The sequence below is a fragment of the Homo sapiens genome, chromosome 3 (assembly GCF_000001405.40).
Source record: "Homo sapiens chromosome 3, GRCh38.p14 Primary Assembly".
NCBI lineage: Eukaryota > Metazoa > Chordata > Mammalia > Primates > Hominidae > Homo > Homo sapiens.
Genome location: NC_000003.12, coordinates 120,241,924 through 120,257,323, shown reverse-complemented (window position 1 = coordinate 120,257,323; position 15,400 = coordinate 120,241,924). Strand labels below are relative to the sequence as shown.

The 15,400-nt window shown below is 40.0% G+C and overlaps 1 protein-coding gene across 6 annotated transcripts in view, besides 1 other annotated feature; it reads left to right on the top strand.

Annotated features, from left to right (window-relative positions):
- Positions 1–15,400, top strand: part of GPR156 (G protein-coupled receptor 156) — a 119,745-nt gene that overhangs the window by 27,899 nt on the left and 76,446 nt on the right. For 4 of the 6 annotated variants that reach the window (NM_001168271.2, NM_153002.3, XM_017005796.2 and 1 more), the window contains exons 2-3: positions 12,846–13,321; positions 13,548–13,684. In NM_001168271.2, coding sequence (NP_001161743.1) covers positions 13,226–13,321; positions 13,548–13,684 — 233 coding nt within the window. In that variant the 5' untranslated portion in view covers positions 12,846–13,225. Of the gene's footprint in view, positions 1–12,845; positions 13,322–13,547; positions 13,685–13,783; positions 14,023–15,400 lie in introns of those variants that run through there. The other 2 variants (XM_011512487.2, XM_047447586.1) reach the window with 2 other exon arrangements.
- Positions 13,413–14,612: an enhancer, noted in NCBI's record as "BRD4-independent group 4 enhancer chr3:119961559-119962758 (GRCh37/hg19 assembly coordinates)". NCBI's record gives its function as "activates an origin of replication core promoter dependent on BRD2, P300/CBP, MED14 and CDK7 cofactors, and independent of BRD4, by STARR-seq in HCT116 cells {active_cell/tissue: HCT116}" and the evidence as "EXISTENCE:reporter gene assay evidence [ECO:0000049][PMID:35650434]".

The window sequence follows — 15,400 nt, the reverse complement described above, 5'->3', positions numbered from 1 at the left end:
TGTAGATGTACCACATTTTCTTTATTCATTCATCTGTTGATGGAGACTTAGATTGCTTCCAAATCTTAGCTATAGTAAGCAATGCTGCAACAAACAGGAGTGCAGACATCTCTTTAATATACTGCTTTTCTTTCTTTTGGGTATATATCCAGCGATGGGATTGCCAGATCATACAGTAGCTCAATTTTTAGTTTTTTGAGGAACCTCCAAACTGTTCTCCATAATGGTTGCACTAATGTACATTCCCACCAACAGTGTACAAGGGTCCCTTTTTCTCCACATCCTCACCAGCATTTGTTATTGCCTGTCTTTTGGATATAAGCCATTTTAACTGGGGTGAGAAGATATTTTAGTTTTCATCTGCATTTCTCTGATGATAAATGACATTGAGCATCTTTTCATATACCTGTTTGCCATTTGTCTGTCTTTGTTGGAAAAATTTCTGTTAGCTCTTTTGCCCATTTTTTTAATCGGATTATTAAATTTTTTCCTATAGAGTTGTTTGAGCTCCTTATATAGTCTGGTGATTAATCCTTTGTCAGATGGGTAGTTGGCAAATATTTTCTGTCATTCTGTGAGTTGTCTCTTGACTTTGTTGATTGTATCCTTTGATGTACAGAGGCTTTGTAACTTGATGTGATCCTATTTTTCCATTTTTGCTTTGGTCGCCTGTGCTTGTGGCATATTGCTCAAGAAATGTTTGCCCAGACCAATGTCTAGAGACTTTCTGCAATGTTTTCCTGTAGTATTTTCATAGTTTGAGGTCTTAGATTTAAGTCTTTAATCCATTTTCATTTGATTTTTGTATATGGTGAGAGATGGGTGTCCAGTTTCATTCTTATGCATGTGGATATCCAGTTTTCCCAGTACCATTTATTGAAGAGACCCTCTCTTTCCCAGTGTATGTTCTTGGCACCTTTGCCAAAAATGAGTTCACTGTAGTTTCTGGGTTCTCTCTTCTGTTCTATTGGTCTGAGTCTGTTTTTATGCCAGTACTATTCTGTTTTAGTTACAATCATTCTGTAGCATAATTTGAAGTCAGGTAATGTGATTCCTCCAGTTTTGTTCTTTTCACTCAGGATACCTTTAACTATTCTGGGTCTTTTGTGGTTCCACATAAATTTTAGGATTGTATTTTCTATTTCTGTGAAGAATGTCACTGGTATTTTGATAGGGATTGCATTGAATCTGTAGATTGCTTTGGGTAGTATGGACATTTTAACAACATTGATTCTTCTAATCCATGTATATGGGATATTTTTCCATTTTTGGTGTCTTCTTCAATTTTTATAATCTGTGTTTTATAGTTTTCATTATACAGATCTTTCACTTCTTTGGTCAGGTTAATTCCTAGATATTTAATTTTATGTGTGGCTATTATAAATAGGATTACATTTTTATTTCTTTTTCACATAGTTCACTGTTGGCATATAGAAATGCTACTGATTTTTTATAAACTTTTATGTTATGTTCAGGTGTATAGGTACAGGTTTGTTATATAGGTAAACTCATGTCATGGGGTTTGTCGTACAGATTATTTCATCACCCAGGTACTAAGCTAGTACCCATTAGTTATTTTTTCTGATCCTCTCCCTCTTCCCACTCTTCACCCTCAGTAGGCCCCAGTGTCTGTTGTTCCCCTCTGTGTGTCCATGTGTTCTAATCATTTAGATCCCACTTGTAAGTGAGAACATGCAGTATTTGGTTTTCTGTTCCTGTGTTACTTTTCTAAGGATAATGGCCTCCATCTCCATCCATGTTCCTGCAAAGGATATAATCTCATTCTTTTTATGGCTGCATAGTATTCCATGATGTATATGTACCACATTTTCTTTTTTTTTCCCTTCAACTTTTATTTTAAGTTCAAGAGTACATGTATGTACAAGATGTGCAAGTTTGTTACATAGGTAAATGTGTGCCATGGTAGTTTACTGCACAGATCATCACATCGCCTAGGTATTAAGGCCAGCATCCATTAGCTATTCTTCCTGATGCTCTCCCTCCCTCACCACACCCCCTCCGACAAGCCCCAGTGTATGTTGTTGCCCCCTCACATGTGTCCATATGTTCTCATCATTCAGCTCCCACTTATAAGTGAGAACATGTAGTGTTTGGGTTTCTGTTCCTGCATTAGTTTGCTGAGGATAATGGCTTCCAGCTCCATTCATGTCCCTGCAAGGAACATGATCTCATTCCTTTTTATGGCTGCATAGTATTCCATGGTGTATATGTAACACATTTTCTTTATCTAGTATATCATTGATGAGCATTTAGGTTGATTCCATGTCTTTGCTATTGTTAATAGTGCTGCAGTGAACATATGTGTGCATGTATCTTTGTAACAGAATGATTTATATTCCTTTGGATATAGACCCAGTAATGGGATTGCTGGGTCAAATGGTATTTCTGCTTCTAGGTCTTTGAGGAATTGCCACACTATCTTCCACAATGATTGAACTAATTCATACTCACACCAATAATTCCTTTTTCTCCACAACATTGGCAGCTTCTGTTGTTTTTTTTGACTTTTTAATAATAGCCATTCTGACTGGCATGAGATGGTATCTCATTGTGGTTTTGATTTGCATTTCTCTAATGATCAGTGATGTTGAGCTTTTTTTTTCATATGTTTGTTGGCCAGATGTATATCTTCTTTTGAGAAGTGTCTGTTCATGTCCTTTGCCCACTTTTTAATGGTGTTGTTTGTTTTTCTTGTAAATTGGCTTAAGTTCCTTGTAGACTCTGGTTATTAAACCTTTGTCAGATAGATAGATTGCAGAAATTTTTCTCCCATTCTTTAGGTTGTCTGTTTGCTCTAATAATAGTTTCTTTTGCTGTGCACAAGCTCTTAAGTTTAATTAGATTCCATTTGTCATTTTTGCTTTCATTGCAATCACTTTCGGCATTTTTGTCATGAAATCTTTTCCTGTGCTTATGTCCTGAATGGTTTTGCCTAGACTTTCTTCTAGAGTTTTTTTTTATAGTTTTGGGTTTTACATTTAAGTCTTTAATCCATCTCCAGTTAATTTTTGTATGTGGTGTAAGGAAGGGGTCCAGTATTAATTTTCTGCATTTGGCTAGCCAGTTCCCCTAGCGCCATTTGTTAAATAGGGAATCCTTTCCCTATTGCTTGTTTTTGTCAAGCTTGTCAACAGTCAGATGGTGGTAGGTATGTGGTCTGATTTCTGAGCTATTTTGTTTCATTGGTTTATGTGTCTGCTTCTCTACAACTACCATGCTATTTGGGTTACTGTAGCCTTGTACTATAGTTTGAAGTTGGGTAGTGTGATGCCTCAAGCTTTGTTCTTTTTGCTTAATATTGCCTTGGCTATTAGGGCTCTTTTTTGGTTCCATATGAATTTTAAAATGATTTTCTTCTAATTCTGTGAAGAATGTCAATGGTAATTTAATGGGAATAGCATTGAATCTATAAATTACTTTGGGCAATATGGCCATTTTCATGATATTGATTCTTCCTATCCATGAGGATGAAATGTTTTTCCGTTTGTTTGTGTCTTCTCTGATTTCTTTGAGCAGTGGTTTGTAGTTCTCCTTGAAGAGGTCCTTCACTTCCCTTATTAGCTGTATTCCTAGGTATTTTATTCTTTTTGTAGCAATTACGAATGGGAGTTCATTCACAATTTGGCTCTCTGCTTGCCTGTTGTTGGTGTATAGGAATGCTAGCAATTTTTGCACATTGATGTTTATATCCTTAGTCTTTGCTGAAGTTGCTTATCAGCTTAAGAAGCTTTTGGGCTGAGACAATGGGGTTTTCTAGATATAGGATCGTGTCATCTGCAAACAAAGATAATTTGACTTCTTCTCTTCCTATTTGAATACCATTTATTTCTTTCTCTTGCCTGATTGCCCTGGCCAGAACTTCTAATACTATGTTGGATAGAAATAGTGAGATAGGGCATCCTTGTCTTGTGCCAGTTTTCAAGGGAATGCTTCCAACTTTTGCCCATTCAGTATGATACTGGCTGTGGGACTGTCATAGATGGCTCTTATTATTTTGAAGTATGTTCCTTCAATACCTAGTTTATTGAGAGCTTTTAACATGAAGGGATGTTGAATTTTATCGAAGGCCTTTTCTGGGCCTATTGAGATAATCATGTGGTTTTTGTCTTTTATTCTGTTTATGTGATGAATCACATTTATTGATTTGCATATGTTGAACCAAACTTGAATCTCAGGGATGAAGCCAACTTGATCGTAGTGGATACGCTTTTTGATGTGCTGCTGGATTTGGTTTGCCAGTATTTTATTGAGGATTTTTGCCTCAATGTTCATCAAGGATATTGGCCTGAAATTTTCTTTTTTTGTTGTTGTATCTCTGCCAGGTTTGGTATGAGGATGATACTGGCCTCAAGAATGAGTTAGGGAGAAGTCCTTCCTTTTCAATTTTTTGGAAAAGTTTCAGTAGAAATGGTACCAGCTTTTCTTTGTACCGCTGGTAGAATTCAGCTGTGAATCTGTCTGATCTTGGGCTTTTTTTGGTTGTTAGGCTATTTGTTACTGCCTCAATTTCAGAACGTGTCATTGGTGTATTCAGGGATTCAATTTCTTTCTGCTTCAGTCTTGAGAAGGTGTATGTGTCCAGGAATTTATCCATTTCTTCTAGATTCTCTAGTTTATGTGCATACAGGTGTGTGTAGTATTCTCTGATGGTTGTTTGTATTTCTGTGGGATCAGTGATGATATCCCACTTAACATTTCTGATTGTGTCTGTTTGATTCTTCTCTCTTTTGTTCTTTATTAGTCTAGTTAGTTGCCTATCTTTTTATTAATTTTAAATAAAACAGCTCCTGGATTCATTGATTTTTTTGAAAGGTTTTTTGTGTCTATATTTTCATTTCAACTCTGATCTGATCTTGGTTATGTCTTGTCTTCTTCTAGCTTTGAAATTTGTTTGCTTTTGGTTCTGTCATTCTTTTAGTTGTGATATTAGGTTGTTAACTTGAGATCTTTCTAGCTTTTTGATGTGGGCATTTAGTGCTATAAATTTTCCTCTTAACACTGCTTCAGCTGCACCCCAGAGATTCTGGTATGTTGTCTCTTTGTTCTCATTAGTTTCAAGGAATTTCTTGATTTCTGCCTTAATTTTGTTATTTACCCAGGAGTCATTCAGGAGCAGGTTGTTCAATTTCCATGTAGTTGTGTGGTTTTGAGTGAATTTCTTAATCTTGAGTTCTAATTTGATTGTGCTGTGGTCAGAAAGACTGTTATGATTTCAATACTTTTGCCTTTGCTGAAAAAGTGCCATGTGGTGATGAGAAGAATGTATATTCTGTTGTTTTTGGGTGGAGAGTTCTGTAGATATCTATCAGGTCCTCTTGATCCAGAGCTTAGTTCAGGTCCTGAATATCTTTGTTAATTTTCTGTCTCAGTGATATGTCTAATATTTTCAGTGGAGTGTCAAAGTATTTCACTATTATTGTGTGGGAGTCTAAGTCTCTTTGTAGGTCTCTAAGAACTTGCTTTATGAATCTGGGTGCTCCTGTATTGGGTGCATATATATTTAGGATAGTTAGCTCTGCTTGTTGAATTGAACGCTTTACCATTATGGAATGCCCTTCTTTGTCTTTTTTTTATCTTTGTTGGTGTAAAGTGTGTTTTGTCAGAAACTAGGACTGCAACCCTTGCTTTTTTCTGTTTTCCATTTGCTTCATAAATTTTTCTCCATTCCCTTATTTTGAGCCTATGTGTGTCTTTGCACTTGAGGTGGGTGTCTTGAAGACAGCATACTGATGGCCCTTGGCTGTTTATCCAGCTTGCCATTCTGTGACTTTTAATTGGGGGCATTTAGCCCATTTATATTTAAGGTTAGTATTGTTATGTATGAATTTGATCCTGTCATCATGATGCTAGCTGGTTATTTTGCTGACTTGTTTTTGTGGTTGCTTCATAGTGTCACTGGTCTGTGTACTTTAGTATGTTTTTGTAGTAGCTGGTAACAGTTTTTCCTTTCCATATTTAGTGCTTCCTTCAGGAGTGCTTGCAGGGCAGCCTGGTTGTGACAAATTCCCTCAGCATTTGCTTGTCTGAAAAGGATCTTATTTCTCCTTCACTTATGAAGCTTAGTTTGGCCCGATGTGAAATTCTGGATTGGAAATATTTTTCTTTAAGAATGTTGAATATTGGTTTCCAGTCTCTTCTGGCTTGTAGAGTTTCTGCTGAGGAGTCCACTGTTTTCTGTTGGGCTTCCCTTTGTAGGTGACCTGGACTTTCTCTCTGGCTACCCTTAGCATTTTTTTTTTCATTTTCACCTTGGAGAATCTGATGATTATGTATCTTGGAGTTGATCTTCTTGTGGAGTATCTTACTGGGGTTCTCGGCATTTCCTGAATTTGAACTTTGGCCCATCTTGCTAGCTTGGAGAAGTTTTCCTGTATGCTATCCTGATGCATGTTTTCCAACTCAGTTCCATTCTGCCCCTCTCTTTCAGGTACCCCAGTCAAGTCATAGGTTTGGTCTCTTTACATAATCTCATATTTCTCTGAGGTTTTGTTCATTCCTTCTCTTTTTATTTGTTTCTGTATTCTTGTCTGCCTGTCTATATGCAGAAAGATAGTGTTCAAGCTCTGAAATTCTTTCCACTGCTTGGTCCATCCTATGGATACTTGTGATTGCATTGTGAAGTTCTTGTGTATTACAAGAACTTTATTTTTTTATCTTTATCCAGTCTACCATTGATGGGCATTTAGGTTGATTCTATGTCTTTGTTATTGTGAATAATGCTGTAATGAACATACTAGAATGATTCATGTTTATTTGGGTAAATGTGTGTTGATTTCGTATCCTGCAGTTTTATTGAATTTATCAGTTCTAATCATTTTTCTTGTGGAGTCTTTAGGTTTTTCCAAATATAAGATCATATTGTCTGCAAACAATGATCATTTGAGTTATTCCTTTTCAATTTGGATGCTTTTTATATCTTTCTCTTATCTAATTGCTCTAGCTAGGACTTCCAGTAGTATGTTGAATAACAGTGATGGCAGTGGGCATCCTTGTTGTGTTCCAGATTTTAGAGGAAAGGCTTTGTCCTTCCCCTATGCCCCAGGTAGGTCCAGGAGTCAAGGACTAGAGTCCAAAACCTTAGAAGTCTACCTGGTATTCTATTATACTGTGGCTGAGCTGGCCCTCAGACCACAAGACACAGTCCTTCCCACTCTTCTCTCCCCTTTCCAAAGGCAGAGGAACTGCCTTTAGTAGAGACAGGGTTTCGCCATGTTGGCCACTGCCAACCCAGCCCATGAGGAGGACTGCCAGACTACTGCTGATGTTCCCTTAAGGCCCAAGTTCTCTTAAATCAGCTTGTCCTGAATGTTACCTAGCCTGAGACTCACCCTTCAGGACAGTGGGCTCCCCTCTGGCCCAGGGAAGGTCCAGAAATGCTGCCCAAGGGTCAAGTCCTGTAATCAGGGACTCCAAGAGCCCTCTTGGTATTCTAACCCCCTGTATCTGTGGTGGTACCTAAGGTGCAAGACAAAGTCCCTTTTACATTTCCTTCTGCTTTTATCAAGCAGAAGTTTTGTCCTGCAGCCACCACAGCTGGTAATGTACTGAGTTCTACCTGAAGCCAGGAAGTCTCAGAGGCTCACCCAAGGCCCTCAACATAGTCCCTGGTTATTGCTGCTGGTTATTCAGAACCAAGGGCTCTTCACTTAGCAGGTGATAAATGCCGGCAGGGCTGGGTCCTTTCCTTCAATGCAGTGGGTTCCCTCTGGCCCAGGGTGTGTCTAGTAATGTCACCTGGTTTCTAGGGCCTAGAATGGAGGCCTCATGACTCTGACCAGTGCCCTATCCTGCTGTGGCTGCGCTGGTATCCTAGACGCAAGACAATGGTCTCCCCACTTCTCCCTCTCCTATTCTCAAGTGGAAGGAAGGGGTCTCTTTTGGAGCTGTAAGCTGTGTAGCCTGGGGTAAGGGGAGGGGTGATGCCAATACTCTCTTGGCTGCCCCAGCTGGTGTCTCAGTAGGTTGCATGCACTCCCAGTCTGCTGTCTCTGGGCCTAGTTCAGCACCAGGACTCACCTAAGAGTTGCAGTCCTTATGGCCTAGACTGCTTTTGAAGTTTACTTGGAGACAAAGAGCACTGTGGCCTTCACTGGTGAGGTTTACAGGCACTCAAGTTTAGACCACTGGGATTGGTGATTCTTCTCTGGCTAGGGCTGTTTTAAATCCTCCCTCCGTTTGCACATTTCAGCTGAGTTTGATCTAGTTTGCCTTTCTGCTCTGATTTCTGGTTCTTATGAAGGTGTTTTTTTCTGTGTAGACAGCTGTTAACTTGGTGTCCTTGCAGAGGGAATGATCAGTGGAGCCTTCTATTTCGCCATCTTGATCCGCCGCCATATATCATTCTTATCAATCATTTTCTGTTTATGCACCTGAAAATACACTGGTATACAAAATTAAGATCCTTACTTTCACAGAATTTGTGTTCTAATGGGGGAAGTCAATAATCGGTGGACACCAATACATATATAAATTAAATAACACATTAAAAGGTGTTGAGGACATGCTGGGCATGGTGGCTCATACTTGTAATCCCAGCACTTTGGGGGGCCGAGGCGGGTGCATCACTTGAGATCAGGAGTTTGAGACAAGCCTGGCCAACATGGTGAAACCCTGTCTCTACTAAAAATACAAAAATTAGCTGGGTATGGTGGCAGGTGCCTGTAATTCCAGCTACTAGGGAGGCTGAGGCAGGGGAATCGCTTGAAGCTGGGAGGCAGAGGTTGCAGTGAGCTGAGATCCTGCCACTACACTCCAGCCTGGACAACAGAGTGAGACTCTGTCTCAAAAAAAAAAAATAAATAAAAATAAAAGCTGTTGAGGACAATGGAGGAAAAGGCAGATCAGAGAAAGAACATTTACAAAAGCCAGAGGGAGTGTGAAGCAATTTTAAATGAGGTCAGATTTTTGGATAATTTCTATTGCTATGTTTTTAAGTTAACCAATGTTTCTTTTTGCAATGTCTGATCTGTTACATTTTTATTTCAGATATTATATTGTTATCTCTAGAAGTTCTATTTAGATCTCCTTTTTATCTTTCAATTCTCTCCTCATTTTGTTCATATTTTGCTTTATATCCTAGAGCATATTTATAATAGTTGTTTTAAGGTTCTTGTGTGATAGTTATATCATTTCTGTTATTTCTGTGTCTGATATTATTTATCTATTTTTTAAAACTTTATGGGTATAGGTCATATTTTTTCATTTCTTTGAATGCCTGGTGATTATTTTGAATTTTACATTGTTGAGCACTGGATGTTGTTATATTCCTTTTAAGAGCATTGAGTTGTGTTCTGGAATGCAGTTGAGTTTTTACAGATCACTTTGATCCATTTGAGACTTTCCTTTAGGGTATATCCAGAGTAACATCTAGTTTAGAGTTAATTTGTTTTTACTACTAAGATGTGGCTTTTCTGAGGATTTTATCCAATGTCCTGTGTATTTTGGGGTCTCTCCACACTGGCTGATGGAAACACAGGGTAGTCTCAGCCCTGTGTGAGCTCCAGGAATTACTCAGCTATTGCCTATCAGTGTTTTTTTCTTCAACTCCAAGTAGTTTCTTCCAGCTCATATCCAAATCATACTTAGGAGAAGACTGGGGGGGATCCTCTGCAGATTTCCAAAGTGCTCTCCCCACTCTCTGTATCTCCCTCTTCTTCATTACTCTGTCCCACAAATTCTAACCACCTCAACATCCTTAAATTCCAATCCATTCCCCCTTACCTCAGGTAGAATTCTAGGTTCTGATTGGTTTTCCCTCCACGTGCTGTGACCTGGAAATGACCTCCAGGCAGTATCTCTTAGGAAGCCCAGTTGTGTGGCATCTGTTGTACAATGCCTGAAAATGATTCTTTCATGTGTTTTGTCTGGTTTTCAACTTGTTCACAGAAAAAAGCAATTTGCACAGCAGTTAATTCTTCACAGACAGAAGCAGAAGTTCTACCAACTGCAAAACAACCAAAACAACTTGTTAAAAGACAGTATTTGTATGACTGGTCATAAATTACGTATAGAAGAATAGAGATTTTGTGAGAAAGATATGGGCCTGTACAGAGGGGTGAACTTGCAAATGACCATCTTGCTTGGGGATAGTGTCTGTTTTCCTGATCCTAATCACTGGGAAGGATTCTGTAATCTCTGTCAAATAAATTGCAAACACTACCACACATGGCCTTGGGTCTACTACTGTCTATGACATAAACAGTTTCTCCCTAGAGACTTAGTTGTGAGGGTACAGGGGGAAGGTAGCTTTTGGAGGGGCCTGGAAGACCCTTCCCTTTGTGCCTTCGATTCTGTATATATCTTGTGGTCAGAAGTCTTACCATTACCCTCTCTGATAACTCCCCACCCACTTTCCCAATCACTAAACACTTTTTGAAACCATTCAACTCTTTCCTTTCAATGATTGAGCCCTTCATTGTTTCATCAGCTCCTCTTGTGTGAATCTCTCTGAATGTGTGCCAAGTTTGCAGTTTAATGCCTGTCCCATGTAGGAGCCCAATATCACGGTATATAAAGTTTCTACACTGGATATCCATGGACTGAAGAGGGGCCTAGCATTCAGGGTTCCAAGCCAGTGAGTTTAGCTTATCCAAGGGTACCTCTAGAATGTGCTCAGAAATTTATTCCAAGTCAGAGTTGCATCCCCCAGGACTTTAGGCTCAGATGGACAACCCCATCATATTTACAGAATCCCTCAAAGATAATTTAAGTTTAAGATTGTCAGCCCACCTGGGGTGCACAGTGTTGACCAGGGTTTCTTAACCTTAGCACTGTTGACATTTGGGGCCAGATAATTCTTTGTTGTTCAGACCATCCTGTGAATTATAGTATGTTTAGCAGCATCCTTGGCATCTACCTACTAGATGTGAATAGCATCCTTCTCTTAATTTTGACAACCACAGATGTCTCCAGAATTGCCAAATGTCCCCTAAAGGTGCAAAATTGCATAGTTGAGAACTACTGGTAAAGAGGCACTATGGCATGCCAAGCTCTAGGGAGCCCACAGAAGTGCACCTCTGGGAACTAAAGCTGAAGAAACCCAAGAGGCCCCTTGGTATCTTCTTGGAAGAAGTTAGTCCAGAGTGTCTGCACCATGTGGAGTGTATACTGGGATGACATTGACCTTGGAATGTAAACTCCTGGGATTCTTGCCTCTGCAGATTTGGAGCAGGGTTTTCTTCTTCTCTGCTTTTCAGTTTACTTATTTGAAAATGAGGAATGGTGTTTACATCACAAAACACTGTAGTGAGGACAAAATGAGGTTTTATGTATATATACACCCATACATATACATATACACTTCTTCCAAATGATATAATAATATATAAACATTGAATGAATAATGGTTCAAATATAAGTGTACTTATTTGCCACTATGATTAAAAGGGCAATATAGGAAAAATACATTTTCTTCTAATCCATCATGTTGTAATAATCCTCCCTGTGGTTGCAGTATGGTTCTGTGCTAGAAGGCACAATAGGAAATCTCTAACTTTAAAAAAAAAGAAAAGAAAAAATATCTTTCTAGCAATTAAAATCTCAACTAAATTAGAATGCAAATAGGTTTTTATATTTGCTTCTTAATTTTGCATTCAATAATCTGACTAGAATATGCAATAATTTAAATGCCTTGATGGGAGATAGTGGCTTTTAGTTCTCTTGGGATTTCATTGTAATAAACCTGGTAAATAATTCAGGAACATATGAGAGGCCAATGAATGGTCAGCACCTGGTGCTATATTATTTGTGCCTAAGCACACAGACTCCAAAGATGGCACTCTCCACCTGTCACTGTTGTTCTGGCTTAAACATGGGCCCTGTGTTCAGTGGCTATTGAGATAATAGTAATGGATATTTTTGCCTTGTCCAATTTTCCTCCACAATCAAAGAAAACTGTGCTAAGCTGTTTAAAAAATACAAAGCAGAAGTGGCAGCCTCTTTTAGATTACCACTGGTAAAATTTCAAATCTATTTTCTCTATTAAGGGATTGATTGTTTTAAAGAATTAGGGATATGGCTATCTTTTCTACTGGTGCTAATTTGAGCCTTTTTGCCTTTCTGTCTTTGTTCCACAAGGCTGAGCTTCTCTTTAGATCACATTATTCATATTGCAAGGATCTTCTGAGAGAAATAACACCATCCTCTGGCCAGCCACTCACTCTGCAGGAGTTCCTAGAGCTCCCCAGTTTCTTTCCCTATTGCCTGAGTAGTCTATCTCACGCCTGTTAGTCTCACAGTTTAAATACAAACACACAAAGACTCTTGCAGGCAGCTTGGGTACCTTTCTTTGACCCCAGCCGACTGGACATAGAGAACAAGAGCTAGAGAGAACAAGAGCTAGAGTGACCGACAGATCATGTGTGGAGACAGCATGGGGCACCTGAGCCCAGCACCATCCAGGATCAGACAGAACTTAAGCCATGAGCTGCCTAGAAAGATCTTGGGAGGGCACTGGGTTTCCCAGTATGGAAAAAAGAAAAATGTGGCTCACAAGTCTAAGCTAAGGTCTTTACAGTACTGGGCCATAAACAGGATCTGAAAAGAAACTGCAGAAAATGTTAGATATGCTTTATCTTTGTTTTAAAAATATTATTTACTATAATGGCTTAAAATATGTTGATTTAAATATATGATATTTGATACCTTTGTAATATATATAATAAAGTGTATAATAAAATATAACTATATAATTAAAATAGATGATATTTTAAAACCTCTCTAATAAACCATTTACGTGTGTGTGTGTGTGTGTGTGTGTGTGTGTGTGTGTGTGTGTGTGTATACATGCCTTTGTTTAACAGGTTTAATTGCTTTCCTTTCTTCAGGAACCAGAGTGAGGGTACTCGAACAGTGACTGCCATCTGGTGGTTAACCAGAATCATCACCTTGTGTAGCCTGATGGTTACTAAGATGTCCACTCTTGACTCACATGGCATGCACTCGCAGCAGGGGACCAGTTGAAGGATGTCTGACTTTGGAGGGTCACCAGTTGAAGGATGTCTGATGAAGGAGCCTAGCGAAATAACCCTTTGCTTCTACCTGAATGGGTTGTTCACTCTGGATTCTGAGCCTGCAGCCAGCTCCAAAATGGGGCCTCTGAAGAAAAGATTTGAGTTGCTCTTGTGTCTTAGTCAAAGATCTACATCCCTACCAGTGGGTAACCAAGACTGTGAATAAGCACACACCAACAGGGGCATGTGGTGACATGGAGCCTGAAATAAACTGCTCTGAATTGTGTGACAGTTTTCCTGGCCAGGAGCTGGATCGGAGACCCCTTCATGATCTCTGCAAGACAACAATTGTAAGTGAGCAGCCACAGGATGCCAGGGCTGCTCAGATGTATGTGGTGGTGGTGGTGTTGGGGAGGAGGAGGTGGAGGGAAAGGGGGATGAGGAAGGGGAGGAGTGGGAGGAGAAACTGCTCATGCAGGATACATATTTCCCAGCACTTGGTGACGATGGGGCAGTTTGTTTTTGACCTATAGAAGATCCTTCATTCCTAACAGCTCCTCCTTATTCTGTCCTCAGACATCTTCCCACCACAGCAGTAAGACCATCTCTTCATTATCTCCTGTCCTCTTGGGTATTGTTTGGACTTTTCTCAGCTGTGGACTTCTGCTGATACTTTTCTTTCTTGCCTTTACAATTCACTGCAGGAAGAACAGGTAAGCAGCCCAGTTTCTCATCACACATAGCTCAATCATGAAATCCCAAATGTTAGTATCTTTTGGCAGCACAAGCCACTATCTGGTCTCCCACTACAGGATTAAACCACATGAGACATTCCCTCTGAAATAGTCTACCTGTTGAGAAGGGGAAAGATCTAGGTCGGTATTGTGCTAACTACTGCAAGGGTATCCAAAGAAGAGAATGAAGAGTCTCTCTCTATAATGGAGGTACAATCCTTCTGAGAAGATGAGGTATCTGTATTTAAAATGAAGACCATGTAGAGGATTCCAAAACAACACAAAAACTTGAGGACAGCACAGCAGAACCAGTCTGGGTGAGTTAGGGTTTCTGCAAAAGCAGTGAAGCACTGCTACCTGGCTATTTGCTAGATAATTCTGGCTGACTAGAAAGTCATCAGCTTATCAGGGTAAGTATGGCTCCCAGGATTCGCAAAAGAAGCAAAATGGTGACTTTTTTCTGAAGGGACTTATAGCACCTTGCCTTGGATGCAATTTCATCCTTCCTCAGGGCCCATCCCATCTCTCCCACCCCCACACTGTACCCTCATCCTACCACAGCCGTCCCAGGGTGCCTCATGAGAAGCCCTGCTCCAGCCCTCTCCTTAGCCCACAGCTGACTTCTAGATGGAGCCCACAATCAGAAATTAACAACTTCCTCAAACCAGCCAAACTCGTCCAGCCCCACTCCAGCCTTACCCTGTGTGGTGACCAAGCATGTCGTGCTCCATTGCCTGTGGATTTGACACTCAGATGAGAATTGGTCAGTTGCATTTTGGGATGCTGTTTTGCCATGTTAGGCATGGAGGACGTGGAATTGTTAAGCAGCAGTGATTGGTTGTTGGGTCAGCCTCAGCATGGTGGTGATACGTGGCACTCCAACTAGAGTATACCCCAGAGACTGCCTCAGCCACTTTTCATTCTGTTCCTCAAGCACACTACGCTGACTCCCATCTCAAGGCTTTTGTACTTACTGTTCCTGTACTGTTCCCTCTGCCTGGAAGTCCTCCTCAGATATTCCCATGACTAGTTCCTTCTCATCTTATAGGTCTTGGCTCCAGTGTCACCTCTTCAGAGACACCTTCCCTGATCATCCTATCTAAAGTAGTATCCCTACCCATGATCACCCCCTCATCTCATTCCATATCCTATCAGCCTGTTTTATGTTCCTTATAGCAAGCATAGTCTGCTATTACCATATTTGTTGATTTACCTGTTGATTGTCTGTATCCCCTACCAGAATGGAATTCTGTGAACACAGGGACTTTGCCTGTCCTCTTGTGCCCACCACTGTGTCTCCAGCATTTAGAACAGACTCTGGGATATAATAGGTGCTCAGTAAATATGCATCCAGTGATCCTGGGAGGAAAGAGATTTAAATCCCAACGGTGGCTGCTGCCAACAAAGTGACTGGGAAAATCATGCATTTCAAGGTTAGAGAACTATGGAGTACAGTCTTTTCAGCTGTAACATGTTTCTATAATGCAAAGTAATACTCAATTGGTATTACCCAGTTGGTAATAAGAAAATTATGTCATTGATTCATATGTTACTTTTCCCCCAGCAAATCAATAATTTAAACATTCAGGGGCAAGCTTTCTCACAGCTAGTAAAGGAAGCTTTAAGCTTGGCAGTTCCTTCCCTTGGTGCAAGTAGTGTCTGGCTTAATGGCTTAAGAACTTGTGTCTTCCCTAC